Below are 17,572 nucleotides of genomic sequence, written 5' to 3'. Positions count from 1 at the left end.
AAAAGAGTAGAAATGTAAAATAGAAACAAAAAGTTCTCAGAAATCCTGTAGTATGCAGCAAGTCAACAAGTCAATAAACAGCATGTAGGGATGTAGCAAACAAATTAATCAACCCAACAGCTTTAATGCACAGATTTATGGGTCACTCTAAGTACACCTTAGATAATTCACTTTCATTTGCCAACTATTATCTACAACTGCTAAGGTTTCCTAATTAAAAAGATGACCCTATAACTGTGTAATCTATATTCTATTATTTTCTCTATTTATTACAAAACCTATTTCTCTTAAACATGGTTCTGAACTTTTTTAAGCTTACAGTAATTTTTATTGTGGCAATTTTGAATATCTAGTGTATTTCAGGAACATTAGTTTTAAACTTAAATATCACCCTAAAGAAATCATCTTTCTAAATGTAGAGCCATAGTGGCATCATGACAAAGATAAATGATATAAACTGTAAATAAAAGTAAAAAATGGTTATTGATATTTACTGAAAATGGCATCTATTGTTTTCTTCAGCAAGATTTTTCATTTTTCTATATTTATAAGCTTCAGTTGATTAATATTTATATGTTTGTGCAAGGCCTAAATTGTAAGATTTTACTCCAGTGATTTATTTTTGGTAGCAGTTGAAAATTTGGGATAAGTAAAATATCCAGAGCTCTGCTGTTTGACACAGGAGCTACTAGACTCATGTGGCTACTGAGTACATGAAATAGAGTTGATCTAACTTACATGTCCTGTAAATGTAAAACATGCACTAGATTTCCTAAGTTAGTAAGAATAATAAATGGAAATTGACTTAGTGATTTTATGTTGAATACATAAGAATAATAATTTCACATACTGGTTTATAGAAATATATTAATTTTAACAATATATGCTTATTTTCACTTTTTCAATGTGACTACTATAAAGTTTTAAATCACATATGTAGTTCATATTTGTGTCTTGCCTTTATATTTCTATTGGACAGTGCTGATCCAGAGATTCATGGAAGACAATAAATTTTAGTAAAATTACTCTCAGAGTTTACGGGTTTGCAGTGGTGTCTAGAATGCATGTGACTCTTTGTTATGAGTAGGTAAAACACAAACGAACGACATTTCCTCTACTAAGAGTATACAATTTTTAAATGTTCCTCAGTTATTTTCATGAAATAAGATGGATTCAAATAAGGCATCTACTTGTTCATTCTCTTTGATTAACTCCTTTGACTAATTGTATAATTCTCCAGTTGTTATTTAAAAACTAGTCTACTTTATAAAGAAAAATAAAGTTAATCTTTCTTGGGTAGTCCGTCTTTTTCTCATGGGAAACACGAAAACTCCTTCTAGAGTACTATATCATTTTCACTTCACAGCCAGGAGTATATTTTATATGGAGCATTTTCCCCCAAAAGTTAAAGGATGCAACTTTCAATCTATTGAGAAGGACACTGATTTTGTTTATCTTTACAATTTATCTTGGGGATGGAGAAAGACAGCAGAATAGAAGGCTCTACTGATTATCCCCGCTACCCCCTTAAGGGACACCAAGTTAATAACTATCTACACAGGAAAAAAAAACACTTTCATAAGACCCAAAAGTCAGGTGAGGACTCATAGTACCTGATTGTAACTTCATATTGCTGAAAGAAGCATAGAAGAGATAAAATAACAGTCCCAAATCAGGGACGCCAACACTCCCCCACCCACCATAGCAGCAGAATGGTGAAGAGAGAGTCTCTGAGCACTGAGATAGGGAGAACACGGCCATTGTGAGGCACTGACCTCAGTGCTGTCCTGTTAGAGCAGAAAGGAAAACCAGACCAAACTCAGCTGTTGCCTGTCCACGGAGGGCGCATTTAAACCAGCCCTAGCCAGAGGGGAATCGCCAATCCCAGGGATCAGAATTTCTGTTCCCCAAAACCTCACCACAACAGGCTACAGCACTGCGTCTCCAAGTAAATATAAAAGGAAGTCTAAGCCATAAGAACTGCAACTCTTGGATGAGTCCTAGTGCTGAATTAGGCCCAGAGACAGTGGACTTGGGGATGGTGGTGTGGCACTTGTGACATATTGTGACACCAGCTGGGGTAGCAAAGCAAGCGCTGGCATCACCCCTCCCCTAACCCCAGGCTGCATAGCTCATGGCTTCAAAACAAGGTGCCTTCCTTCTGCTTCAGGAGAGGAGAGGGAAGACTGGGGAGAACTTTGTCTTGCATGTAGGATACCAGCCCAGCCACAGCAGGATAGGGCACCTGTCAGAGTCCATGAAGCCCCTATTCCAGACCCTAGATCTCCAATTCTAGATATACCCTGGGCCAGAAGGAAATCTGCTACCTTGAAAGAAAGGACCCAATCCTGGCAGCTTTCATCACCTGCTAACTGAAGAGCCACTGGGCCATGAATAACCAGCAGCAATACCTAGGTACTACATCAAGGACCTTGGTGAGCCTCTGAGACTTACTGGCTTCAGGTGAGACTCAATACATAAACAGCTATCATGGCTAGGAGGCAAAACTCCTTCTGTTTGAGAAAAGGAGAGGTAAAAGTAAAGGGGACTCTGTCATGCACTTTAGGAACCAGCACAGCCACAAAGGGGTACAACATCAAGCAGGCTCTTGAGGTCTCTGATTACAGGACTTGACTCTTGGAAGCCATTTCTGGACCTGCCCTGGGCCAGAGAGTAGCCCAATGCCCTGACGGGTGAGGCCAAGGCCAAGCAGTATTCACCAGAAGCTGACTTAAAAGACCTTGGGATTTAAGGGAAGATCAGTTGTAGTCTGGCAGTATTCCTCTTGACCTGACAAGTTGATGGCTATGGGGTAAGGCTCCTTTGCCTTTGGAAAGGGGAGGGAAAAGTGGGAAATACTGTGTTGTGTGGTTTGAGTGCCAGCTCAGCCAGAATATATCAGAACACCAGATTGACTTCTAAGGTTTTTGACTTTAGTCCCTGACTCCCAGATAGCACTTCTGGACCCAGCTAGGGCTTTGGGGACCTTGCCACCCTAAAGGGAATGACACAGGTCTGGCTGGCTTTTGCCACCTGCTGATTGTAGAGCCCCAAGGCCTTCAGCAACTATAGACAGTAGCCAGGGAGTGGCTATAGCAGGCCTTGGGTGAGACCCAGTGCTAATCTGGCTTCAGATCTGACTCAGTGAAGTTACAGTGGTGGTGGCCACAGGGCCACTTGTGTCACTCCACCCTCATATTTAGGTGGCTCAGAATGGAGAAAGAGAGTCTATATCTTTGTTAGAAAGTAACAGAAGGGTACAAGAGACTGCCTGATAATCCAGAAAACTCTCTCAAATCTTGTCCAAGATCATCAAGGTTAGGTATCTTTATGAATTTGCAAGAACCACAGTGTTACTGGGCTTGGGGTGCCCGCTAAAGCAGATACACCTTAGATTACAACACCCAACTCCGTTCAAATATCTGAAAAGCCTTCCCAAAAAGAAAGGCTACAAATAAGCCTAGACAGTGAAGACTGCAATAAATACCAAGCTCTTTAATGCCCAGACACCAAAAGACATCTACTAGCATCAACACCATCTAGGAAAACATTACCTGGCCAAATAAAATAAGCTACCAGGGAACAATTCTGAAGACACAGAGATAAGTGACTTTTTAGAGAAAGAATTCAAAATAGCTATGGTGATGAAACAGAAATAAATTCAAGATAACACAGAAAAGGAATTCAGCGTTCTATTGGATATATTAACAAAAAGATTAAAATACAAAGAATCAAGTAGAAATTTTGGAGCTGAAAAATGCAACTGGCATACTAAAAATGTGTAAGAGTCCTTTAACAGCAGAGTAAATCAAGCAGAAGACTGAATGAGTGAGCTTGAAGACAGGCTATGTGAAAATACACAGTCAGAGGAGAAAAAAAGATTTTCTAAAAATGAAGCACACCTGCAGGATCTAGAAAATAGTCTCAAAAAGGCAAATCAAAAAGTTATTGAGTTTAAAGATGAGGTAGAGAAATAGGGGTAGAAAGTTTATTCAAAAAATAATAACACAGAACTTCCCAAACCTAGAGAAAGATATCAATATCCAAGTATAAGAAGTTTAGAGAACACTAAGCAGATTTAACCCAAAGAATAATCAAATTCCCAAAGGTCCAGCCAAAGTTCCAGGATAAAGAAAGAATCCTAAAAGCAGCAAGAGAAAAGAAATAAATAACATGCAATGGAACTCCAATATGTCTGGCAGCAGGCTATTCAGTGGAAACCTTAAACACCAGGAGAGAGCCATTTGACATATTTAAAGATCAAAGGATAAAAAACACTTTCACCCCAGAATAGTTTATCTGGTGAAAATATCCTTCAAACATGAAGGAGAAATAAAGACTTTCCCAGACAACAAAAGCTGAGAGATTTCATCATTGCAAGACCTGTCCTATAAGAAATCCTAAAGGATTTCAATCAGAGATAAAAGGATATTAATGAGCAATAAATAATCACCTGAGGTTACAAAAGTCACTGGTAATAGTAAGAGCACAGAAAAGCACAGAATAATATAACACTGTAACTGTGTGGTGTGTAATCTACTCTTACCTTAAATAGAAAGATTAAAAAATTAACTACAACTACTTTTTAAGGCATAGTCAATACAACAAGATAAACAGAAATAACAAAATTTTAAAAGCAGGGAGACAAAATTAAGGCATAGAGTTTTTATTAGTTTTTTTTTTTTTGCTTGTTTGTGTGTTTATGCAAGTAGTTTTAAATTATTATTAGGTTGAAATAATGGGTCATAAGATAGTATTTGCAAGCCTCCTGGTAACCTCAAACCAAAAAACCTACAATGGGTACACAAAACATAAGAAGCAAGAAACTAAATCATATTACCAGAGATAATCACCTTCACTAGAGGAAAACAGGAAGGAAAAAACAATGAAGAGAAAACTACAAAAAGATCAGAAAATAAATGTAAAAAGGCAGTAGTAACTCTTTACTTATCAATAATAACACTGAAAGTAAATGGATTAAACTCTCCAATTAAAAGACATAGACTGGCTGGATAGATGAAAAAACAAAACTAATTGATCTGTTGCCTACAAGAAACACACTTCACCTATAAAGACACACACAGACTGAGAATAAAGGAATGGAAAAGGGAATTCCATGACAATGAAAACAAAAAAAGAGCAGGAGTTGCTATCCGTATATTGGACAAAATAGATTTCAAGACAAAGAAGATCACTATATAATGATAAAGGGGTCAATTCAGCAAGAGGATATAACAATTTTAAATATATATGCACCCAACACTGGAGCACCCAAATATATAAAGAAACTATTATTAGAACTAAAGAGAGAGATAGGCTTCTATACAATAATGGCTGGAGAGTTCAACACCTCACTTTCAACATTGAACAGATCTTCCAGACAGAAAATCAACAAAGAAACATCAGACTTAATCTACGCTATAAACCAAATGGATCTAATAGGTATTTACCAAACATTTCATCCAACCCTACAGACTATGCATTCTTTTCCTCAGTATATGAATCATTCTCAAGGATACACCATATGTTAGGTCACAAAACACATCTTAAAACATTCAAAAAATTATATGATATCAAGCATCTTCTCTGAATGCAATGGAATAAAACTAGAAATTAATAATGAAACTAAATTTGGAAATTATACAAATACTTGCAAAATAACAATATGATACTTAATTACCAGTGAGTCAATAAAGAAATTAAAAAGGAAATTGAAAATTTTCTTGAAACAAATGATGATGGAAACACAACATACCAGAACCAATCAGATACAGCAAAAACTGTACTCAGGGAATTTTATAACTATAAGTGCCTACATAAAAAAGAAAAACTTGAAATAAACAATCTAACAATGCATCTTAAAGAACTAGAAAAATAAGAGCAAACCAAACTCAATATTAGCAGAAAAAAATATAGATCAGAGCCAAAATAAATGAAATTGAAATGAAAATGCAAAAGAATAATAAAACAAAATTTGGTTTTTGAAAAGTTAAACAATACTGACAAACTTTTAGACAGACTACGAAAAAAGAGAAAGAAGTTCCAAATAAAATCAAAAATGAAAAAGGAGACATTACAACTGATACTGCAGAAGTTCAAAGGATAATTAGTGACTACTATGAGCAACTATAGGCCAATAGAAGAAATGAAAAAAATTCTAGAAACATACAACCTACCAAGATTGAGCCAGAAAGAAATCCAAAACATGAACAGGCTAATGACAAGTAATGAGATCAAAGCTGTAATAAAAACTGTCCTAGTAAAGAAAAGCCCAGGACCCAGTGACTTCACTGCTGAATTCTACCAAATGTTTAAAGAACTAATACCAATCATACTCAAAATTCTCAGAACAAATACAGGAGGAGGGAATACTTCCAAACGTATTCTACAAAGCCAGTATTACACTGATGCCAAAACCAGCCAAGGAGACATCAAAAAAAAGAAAACTGTTGGCCAATGTCTTTCATGAATATTGATGTAAAAATCCTCAGCAAAGTATTAGTAAACTGAATTTAACAATACAGTAGAGAGATTATTCATTATGACCTGGTAGAATTTATCTCTGGAATGCAAGGATAGTTCAACATATGCAAATCAATCAATGTGATGCATTTTATCAACAGAATGAAGAATAAAAACATGAAGGATCATTTCAATTGATGCTGAAAAATCATTTGATATCCCCTCATAATAAAAATCCTAAAAAACTGGAGATAGAAGGAACATATCCCAACATAATAAATATACAACATAATACATGACAGACCCACAGCTGGTATCATACTAAATGGGGAAAAACTGAAAGTCTTTCCTCTAGGATCTGGAACACTACAAGGATGTTGACTGTCACCACTGTTATTCCTCATAGTGCCAGAAATCTGAGCTAGAGCAATCAGACAAGAGAAAGGTATAAAGGATATCCAAATTGGAAAGAAAGATATCAAATTATCCACATTTGCTGATGATATGATCTTATACTTGGAAAAACCTGGACTCCAAAGAAAACTATTAGAACTGATAAACAAATTCAGTAAAGTTGCAGGACACAAAATTGGCATACAAAAATCAATAGCATTTCTATATGCCAACAGTGACAAATGTGAAAAATAAATAAAAAAGTAATCTCATTTACAATAGCCACACATAAAATTAAATACTTGAGAATTAACCAAAGGAGTGAAATTTCTCTCTAATGAAAACTAAAAAAAACACTGATGAAGGAGATTGAAGAGGACACCAAAAAATGAAAAAAATATATATTTATTGTTTATATACTGGAAGAATCAATATTGTTAAAGTATCCATACTGCTCAAAGCAACCTACAGATTCAAAGCAATACCTATTAAAACATCAATGTTTTCTTCACAGCAATAGAAAAAAAAATCCTAAAATTTATATGGAACCACAAAAGACCCAGAATAGCCAAAGCTATCCTATGTAAAAAGAACACAACTAGAGGAATCAAATTCCCTGACTTCACATTATAATGCAGAGCTATAGTAACCAAAACAGCATGGTACTGGCATAAAACAGACACATAGACCAGTGGAACAGAATAGAAAACCCAGAAACCAATTCACACACCTACAGTGAACTAATTTCTGATAAACATTCCAAGAACATACATTGGGGAAAAGATAGTCTCTTCAATAAATATTTCTGGGAAATTGGATATATATATGCAGAAGAATGAAACCAGACCTCTATCTCTTACCACATACAAAAATAAAATCAAAATGGATTAAAGACTTAAATCTAAGACCTCAAACTATAAAACTACTACAAGAAAACATTTGAGGATCTCTCCAGGACATTGGTCTGGACGAGGACTTCTTGAGCAATAAGCCACCAGCACAGACAGCCAAAGCAAAAATGGACAAATGGGATCACATCAAGTAAAGGATACAATAAAAAGTAAAGAGACAACCCACAGAATGGGAGAAAATTTTGCAAGGTGTCCATTTGATAAAGGACGAATAACCAGAATATATAAGGAGCTCAAACAATTCCATAGGAAAAAGATCTAATAATCCAATTCAAAATGGGCAAAAGATTTGAATAGACATTTCTTAAAAGAAGACATACCAATGGCAAATAGGCATATGAAAAGGTGCTCAACATCATTGAAAACTCACTGATCATCAGAGAAATGAAAACCAAAATTGCAATGAGATATCATCTCACCCCAGTTAAAATGGCTTATATCCAAAAAACAGGCAATAACAAATGTTGGTGAGGATGTGAAGAAAAAGAAACCCTTGTACACTGTTGCTGGGAATGTGAGTACAAACACTACGAATAACAGTTTGGAAGTTCCTCAAAAAGCTAAAACTTAAGCTACTATATGATCTGGTAATCTCACTGCTGGGTATATACCCAAAAGAAAGGAAATCAGTATATCAAAGAGATACCTGCACTCCTATGTTTGTTGCAGCACTGTTTACAATAGCTGAGATTTGGAAACAACCTAAGTGTTCATCAACAGATGAATGGATAAATAAAAATGTGGAAAATACACACAATGGAGTACTATTCAGCTATTGAAAAGAATGAGATCCAGTCATTTGCAACAACATGAATGGAACCTGAGATCATTATGTTAAGTAAAATAAGCCAGACACAGAAAGACAAATATCACATGTTCTCACTTATTTTGGAGATGTAAAAATCTAATCCTTTGAATTCATGTACACAGAGACTAGACGGATAGTTACCAAAGGCAGGGAAGGGTTGTTGGTGGGTGGGTAGGGGTAGGTGGGGATGGTTGATGGGTACAAAATATAGAAAGAAAAAATAAGACCTACTATTTGGCATCACAATAGAGTGACTATAGTCAGTAATAACTTAATTGTGTATTTTAAAATAACTTAAAGAATGTAATTGGATTGCTTGTAACTCAAAGGGTAAATTGTTGAGGGGATAGATACCCCATTCTCCATGATGTGCTTATTTCACATTGCATGCCTGTATCAAAACATCTCATACACCATATATATATAATATATATATATATATAATATATATATATATATACTATGTACCTACAGTTTTTAAAAATTAGTTTTAAAGATATAAAATTTATGTCTTTCAAATTTGCATAAAAAGCAGAATTCCTATAATTTTATTTTTAAAGATGAGAAATGTTACCTATACTAGCATCTTTTAGATGATGACCAAATAGACATGTTTACTTTCGTTATTCTAAATATAATTTCCAAATGTGCACCCTGTAAGAAAAACTGCAATGAGGGAGCTTGTAGTAGCTGCATGGATTTGAATAAAATTGAATACCCTTAAAAATTAGGAAGAAAATTCAGTTAGATGATAGTACTGCTTGTGTGTTGGAGGTAGGATGTGTCATTTGGACAGAAAACTTACTGGGGATAGGGGTGGGTTGCAGTTCACTCTAAAACTAACTTTAGGAACAGAACAGGAGATGCTTTCTAGAATCCTTTAGGAAAATATGCATGTCTTTGACAGGTTTGAAGGTAGGTGAGGATCACACTGAATAAGGAATCAAGAGATAATTCAAGAAAGTGAGGAAAAGAGAAAAGCTGTCATAGATGTGAGGACCAGGCTAAAGGGTATAAAGGGTCTTTGATAGAGACATTTTTAGGGGAGGTTTCCAAGTGCCCAGAGAGAAGAGTGAGCTACACTCAATTTGTTTAGGGTCAGGGAGGAACTCATTCTCAACTCCTGGTTCTCAGAGAGTTACATTTTCAAATAAATCACTAACATGAAACATTAACAAAAGCAAATTACAAGTAAAAGAAAGCAAACTCTACAAATATTGACAGAGTATAAATTTAAAGCAGCCTGCCACACCAGCACAAAACTCCTGGAAGATTTCAAAACCATCTGTATCCTATTTTTTGTCCAATTCCACTTTGTAACACTTATTCTTCTTCAAAATGTCCATTGATTTCAAGCACACCTTTAAACTTGTCCAATGTGCAAAAAATCATGTTTATCTTTGCCAAGTCCATTAACTATCTATATGGGCACATAATATAATAAATATAAACTTGAAGCCAGGAAAGAAATTGAAAAAGGCTTTTGGAACATTTAGTTCAGAACCCTAAAGTGAGAACCGGTGAAGAATTGCAGGACCTCAGAACAGCTTTCAGAAATCCAGTGAAATGTTTATATTCTTTACTGAGTTTCATTAGTAACTAAGAATATAAACTAAATAGTTTGGTTTCTGGTGCCATTTATCTTAAGTACCAAACCCTTAATTCTAATAACAATGGATTAACTATGAATTTTTTCATCGGTAATTGACTGTGTACATAACAGTGTTACAATTTTTAATTGATACATTAAAATTTGATATGAACTACATTTTAGAAGGAGGTTAGAAAGCTATTTTGATAGTTTGTTTTCTAATAGCATACATGTATCTGACATTCATAAGAGCAGGAAAACAAGATATATATTATGTATAAAAAGCATACATTTACTACCATTCTAAAGTTGCACTATGGCCCATCAACTGAAAAAAACATGGTTTTAACTGCTGCAATCCATTCCTAAAAAAACACTGCCATATTTAAATAGTGGATTTTCCCACCTGTCTCTAAGTGCCAAAATATTTTCTCTTTTCATCAATTTCCATGTAGGCTGACCTCTACCATATTCTTTTTAGAATCATCAACCCATGACACTGTGCTTGGAACAATGTAAATGCTCAAATGTTGGTTAAAATGACTTCACTACTTCATTTATCAAGTTAGTGCCACAGGTTATAACCAGGGCTTTCTATGGTGCTACAAATCTATCTCACTCCACTGTCCTTTACCTACTATGAAAGTTGCATTGATGGCTCCTAGTCTTACCAATGATGACTGTGAATTTCAGTTTTCACTTCCAATCTTTTTTGAATTTCCTCTCCAAAATCCCAGCTGCAGCTTTGTTCTCAGGTCCAATGAGATAAAATATAAAAGTTGTCAAATTACCTCAAGAATAGGGGCTGGCTTGATATACCTCTTGTAATTCTGGTGGGCAGCATTTTAGCACAAATGCAAATATTCAAATACTCATCTGTATCGTTTTCTAAATAACTTAATATTTGAGAATATTGGCCTATAACTCTTTTGCAACATTAGGCTGCTTTAAAAATCATGATTATAGCAGATTTTATGTTTTCAAATAGTTTATGTCAACAATTTGGATTCTGCTCTGAGATATGGAATATTCAGACAATGGCCAGACCATAAATGAAACTAGAACTCTGACCTACAGCCTCTACAGCAACCAGTCCAGGAAGCCAAACCTCTGTAGCAGTTGGCTGGAGCAATTAGGATTTAGTTCATTACTTCCAGCTTTCCTAATTTTTGCCTCTGCTACCAACTCAAACCAAACAGAAACTAAATAAATAAGCTCTCCAAACTAATTACATAAGATGTGATCGTGATTTGCCCACTTTCAAGTAAATGCCAACAACCTTCAATCAGAGCATACCAAACATACCTGAAGGCTTTCATTTTCTTCACTATGACACTTTGTCACTCCCTCAGTTGCCTGAGTCTCTGACAAATGCAAATGATCATTTCTGACACCCATCCTATGACACAGTTCAAATAACTAGCCTCTGTTTGTTCTTTTGGGGGTTATTTTCATTTATTTTTACTGCCCTAAAGTGATCTATGTTTTGAATGTTCCAGGGCAAACTGAGAATTAAGATTGGCTTCTGGCTATTTTTCTTACAAGCTGAAGATTATCAAACAATTTTTTCTCCTTAATTTAATTTTAAAATATTTTCCCACATTACACTAATTGTTTTAAAAAGTAATAGTGCATTGCTTAATATGATCATCTTCATTGATTCAGTGATTTATGTAGTATTCTACATAAGTTTAGGATTATTATGAAACAAAAAGTTATCGTTATTTCTGTTATCCTCCTAATCAATAGGGTAACTAAGTAGCAGAATTTCTTCTAATCAAATATGATCCATAAAAACTATATAATAAACTTTTTGCAAATATTTTACAAATCATAGAATTAAACAAGAAAAATACTGGATCAAAATTTGAGATAAATTACTTTCAAAAGGTTCATAAAATCAGTGACTTTGAATAATTAGCAAATACCTGTGATGCATATCTGATCTTAATTTGCAGATACTCCAGGAAAAGAAAATATAGACTGTGAAAATATAAGATTTACTTCTGTTTAAATCTACTCATGAACTTAAGTTTTATGTGATTAATTGTGGGTCACTTTTTAATGCAGATTGAATAGTAGATCTGCTAGGAGAGAAACTCAGCTCAATTAAGGAACATTTCCTCTGCTGAATGCTTCACCTTTATTTTCCCTCTCACATCCCTCCTTCCACAGTACCTGCGCCGAACACTCATGAAATTGCTCCCAAGTTGTAGCTGAAGATTAAACTGAAAAGTTTAATGAGTATATGTAGCAATTAAAAATGGATTAATTTAGAAATCATGGCTGCTTTTGATTAAATGGCAGGGGAAAGAAACACCTAAAACTAGCTAAAATTGAATTTTCAAATTTTAACAAGCAAATAAATCATCCTGGGATGGGGGGCTGGGTCTTGTTAAAAATACAGATTCTTAATCAGCTTTTTTTTTTTTTTTGAAAGAAAGTCTTCTTTTCTAACAAGCTTCCAGGTGATGCCAATGATTCAGATAGCATTTTGAGTATTAAGGGCCTGGAGATGTTCATTTTGGGAGTAATGGCTGTACATGTAATTATGCCTTACACAGATTAGATACATGCTTTAAGAATAAAGTGAAAACTCAGTCTCTTCTACATTTGTAGAAATTCTTCTCATTACTCACAGGGCTGACTGTAAAAATTTGAGGAGAACAATTATTTTAAAGTGTTTGTCTCAATATCTGGTAAACACTAAATACATGATAAATGTGTGCTATTACTGTGGCCCAGCTATTGAACAGAATCTTAATATCTAACATTAACTTCAAGTTTAGTGTTAAATACTGTTGTGTGTTTTATATGCATTATTCAAAATAGAAACTATTCCTAACCTTATTCTCATGGGTAGAAACATCAATCACTGGGAGGTGAGGTAGCTTGCCCAGAGCCCACAGGTAAACATCAAGGAAAAAAGGATTCAAATCCAAGCAATCTCACACTAAAGCCAAAAATCTAGAGCTCATTCACAAAATGACATTGTCAGATGCACACAGAACAGAGTTCAGATTCACATAGAACAGAGTTCTTAATTAGTATAAAGCTTTGCTAAATAACGTCAAGGACACAGGCAATTAAAGGACTCAGACAAGGTAGAGAGACGCCAAGGGCTGCTCCCACGGTTCTTCTTGGGTTAGATAAGCTTCTCTGGTCCAGAATCCATGAGGTGTTTCAGTGAGTTTCACAGGATTACCTCACAGAAGTCTAGCTTGTCAAGTATTACACATGACCATTTTATAGTACAGAGACTTGTATCACCTATGTGATGTTTTCCAGGAAGCATGCTAGTAGACCTGAGTAATCCTTAGCTAGGGACATCCAGCTAAGAATATTTAAGAGATAAACTCTCTTCCTCCTGGGCAAACATCATTAGTCTATTTACCCAGAGGTCAAGTTAACAAGAAGGGTAGCCCAGATGACCTGCTTTTCCCCACACACTGATTTCCTCAAACTTTACACCCCACCCAACAGGGAGAGGGATGAGTGGATCAGTGGCCAGATGCTTTAACTTCCTTTATTCTTTAACTAATAGGCAATCACTCAAAGTAGATAGTATATCTGTTATACTTAGACACAAACAGAGCCCCTATAAACAATAATGATAATTAGAAAGTGAGCAGCAATATTCAGATTTATTTATTTATCTGGAAAACTCCCACTGAGAAAGAAAGACAGGAATTAGGTAGATGGACAACAATACAAAGAGATCAAATGCCAAAGTGCAGAGAAGGGCATATGGTTCATCATGAGGAAGAGCAGGAACATATATTGCAAAGAGCATATATTCCAAAGAGTTCAAAAGTACAAGGCAGCAGGCAATAGCCAAGAAGGACACAGGAGAAAAGAGACCAATCAGAGGAAAACAATAAGTACCTTTATAATAATATGAAAACTGCAGCAACTCTTTGGCCCAGGCCCAGGCTTTCTAAATGATTTCTGATGAAAACAGTGGCTAATCCGAGTGTGATTTACCTAGCTCTTGCAGGTGGAAAGAGCTAACTGGTAGCAGCTGTTTAGAAGCAACATGCCCAACCCAGGGAAAGGAGCAGCTCCAGGCCAGTAGATTAGCCTAACAGATCTGGGAGAAGGATAAATTGGGGCCATTCCTGAGCTTAATCAAAGTTGCATAATTGTCAAAGGAAAACCAATCTCATAATTTCATTCTGATTAACTATTTCATTTCTACGTTTTAATTCTGTCGAAAATTTTGGCTGAAATAGTAAATTCTGTTTCATTATTGCTTCATTTAACCTAAAGTGCTTTTTTGAATGCTCATTTGCCAGAAAGGAATTGTGCAGACATCCAGGATAAAACCCTTGAGTTGAAGAATACAGCATGCCAAGAAATTACTCTCTTATGTGGTGATTAATATAAATTTAAGACTTTTGGCTGAATCAGCACATTTGAAATCATACTCTGCACTTGCAAAGATGCACAACACTTCTCTTTGTTTGTTCTGATATGATGAGAAAGGAATGAGGTGTGATTGATATTAAAAGCTAAGTTTGTCTGGAGATTTGTCAGGAACCAGCACCAAGGGAGATAATATTGTGTCTTATTGAGATTGAAGAAGAGTAAGCTCAAAGAATTGCACAAATATGTTTTTGAAATGTGAAGATTAATAAGAATTGTTTAAAAAATGGTGACAAAGTTTTCATTCAAAATACCTCTCATAAAATGCAGTAGCAAATCTCATCATAAAATGTGCAGAATTCTGTTGCCTTCACCAGGTTGTCACCTCTAATATCACTGGGTGATGGATGAAAAAACATTCACGTTTGCCATTGATTTAGGACTCTGAGCTGCTTTCCAAGTCATTCAGCATTTTGTGTGATAAATTATATCTAAAGTTCCCCCAAATAGTTTGTTTTATTGTTCTTTTTAGGCGATCACCTACCAGATATTTGAAGAGCTCCTACTCTAGTAAATGAGATTGAAATTGCTTGCCTCAAACAATCCATTTTCTAATTTTGATTGTTGCAAATTTCTAAAAGTACTGAGTCCTTGTTGTGGATCAACGATTTCTCTTCCTGTGACTTTATGTAAGACAATTCTGTGTATGTCATTTTCCTATGCTCTAAAAATGGCCACAATTTCTTATCCTGCAAATCTTACAAATGTGTGAAGCATGAAAATGTGTGAAGCATAAAAATGTGTCTGATTGAAAAAAAATCATTGAAAAACTTAAAAGCAGTCTGAACATTAAACTTTTATAGTTATGAAAATTATGTTTGGTCCATGATTATTTTTTGTTATCTGGGCATTTTTACTAATGACAGCCTACTCTACTTTAACTTGAACTTAGCTATGTCACTAAGCTGAAGGAATATGATCAGTACTTCATAGAAACTATATTTATGTGCTCAAATTCCTGTGATACAAAAACAATACAAGTCAAAAATGAGATAGTCTATGAGTTATTTTAAGCCCATCTCTATTTACTTTTCATTACTCCTAGAGATTTTTTTCAGAGTCCCCTATATCTCCCATCTTTGATCAAAACCTATGCCTACGTGTGCTATCACGTTCTTCTATTACTGGCAGTTTTAAAATGCAAATATCCCCTGCAAGATTATGTGGTGTGCTTTATTTAACCTTTGTTCTTAAGGTTTAAAATGTTAAGAAAATAAGTCAATAGTAGAACAAATGCAAAAATATATTTTCTTAGGGGATGTGTGTGGGGAAAAGAAAGAGAGATCAAACTGTTACTGTGTCTATGTAGAAAGAAGTAGACATGAGAGACTCCATTTTGTTCTGTACTAAGAAAAATTATTTTGCCTTGAGATGCTGTTAATCTGTAACCCTACCCCCAACCCTGTGCTCACAGAAACATGCGCTGTGTTGACTCAAGGTTTAATGGATTAAGGGTAATGCAGGATGTGCTTTGTTAAACAAATGCTTGAAGGCAGCATGCTTGTTAAAAGTCATCACCACTCCCTAATCTCAAGTACCCAGGGACACAAAACACTGCGGAAGGCTGCAGGGACCTCTGCCTAGGAAAGCTAGGTATTGTCCAAGTTTTCTCCCCATGTGATAGGCTGAAATATGGCCTTGTGGGGAGGGAAACACCTGGCTGTCCCCCAGCCTGACACCCATAAAGGGTCTGTGCTGAGGAGGCTTAGTAAAAGAGGAAGGTCTCTTTGCAGTTGAGATAAGAGGAAGGCATCTGTCTCCTGCTGGTCCCTGGGCAATGGAATGTCTGAGTGTAAAACCGGATTGTATATTCCATCTACTAAGATAGGAGAAAACCGCCTTAGGGCTGGAGGTGAGACAGGCTGGAGGCAATACTGCTCTTTAAGGCATTGAGATGTTTATGTACATCAAAAGCACAGCACTTTTTCCTTTACTTTGTTTATGATGTAGAGACATTTGTTCACATGTTTTCCTGCTGACCCTCTCTCCACTATTACCCTATTGTCCTGCCACATCTCCCTCCCCGAGAAACCCCCGATAATGATCAATAAATACTGAGGGAACTCAGAGACTGGGGCCGGTGTGGGTCCTCTGTATGCTGAGCACCTGTCCCCTGGGCCCATTTTCTTTCTCTATACTTTGTCTCTGTGTCTCTTTCTTTTCTCAAGTCTCTCGTTCCACCTGACGAGAAACGCCCACAGGTGTGAAGGGGCAGGCCACCCCTTCAATGTGAACAGACAACACGATGAGTGATGCAAAGATTTTTCCAGCCCTCTTTGGCCTGACATGCATTATTGGTTCATGTAGAGAGGGCTGTACCAGTATTTTTACTAAGTAAGCAATCTCCTTTTTGCAGAGCTGCTAACACCTACATAAACTATATTCAGTAACTGAACCAGATACCATAATCAATGGGGGAGGGGAAAAGACATTTGATTTCAGAGAAATCCAATGCACCAAGAAAACACCATATTTTTGTTGTATAATTGTTTAGAAAAAAAGAATATCTACTTATAATACCTGACATAGGCAAGAGGAAGAATCATGAAACCTTGGTGTGGCGTGGAGGGGAAGAGAGCAGTGCCCCAATAGCTTGGCTCCATGTAGACTCTACAGAGAAGCTGGCTAAAAACAAATACCTTGCCTCCTTGTCTCACACACTGAATCAGAACTTTACAGAGGAAACCAAGAAATTCTATATTAAAATTGACTCTAATGTAACTTCTGTATAGCTAGATATTTAGAGATGAGTGCCAAATCATATAGTTCAACTCTTTAGTAGTGACTAGGGTGTTGAAGCTCAAAGATTGATTTGGCTACCCAGATTCCCAAAGCACATCATAGCAAACAGAACTTCAGTCTCTCACACTCTTTACTCTCCATGGGCTGTTTCCATACACTCAAGAGCTTATGAAGATACCTTTTTTACCCACAATACCCATATTGGACTGTCACTGGAAAAATCAAGACATTAAACAAATT

General features: G+C 35.8%; 1 annotated feature.

Annotated features, from left to right (window-relative positions):
- Positions 15,749-16,337: an enhancer, noted in NCBI's record as "OCT4-NANOG-H3K27ac hESC enhancer chr7:118740781-118741369 (GRCh37/hg19 assembly coordinates)". NCBI's record gives its function as "activates a minimal SCP1, AML or CMV promoter by ChIP-STARR-seq in naive and primed H9 embryonic stem cells {active_cell/tissue: H9 hESC(naive and primed)}" and the evidence as "EXISTENCE:reporter gene assay evidence [ECO:0000049][PMID:30033119]".

Source organism: Homo sapiens, chromosome 7 (genome assembly GCF_000001405.40).
Source record: "Homo sapiens chromosome 7, GRCh38.p14 Primary Assembly".
Taxonomy (NCBI): Eukaryota; Metazoa; Chordata; class Mammalia; order Primates; family Hominidae; genus Homo; species Homo sapiens.
This window is presented reverse-complemented; position numbering and strand designations above follow the sequence as displayed.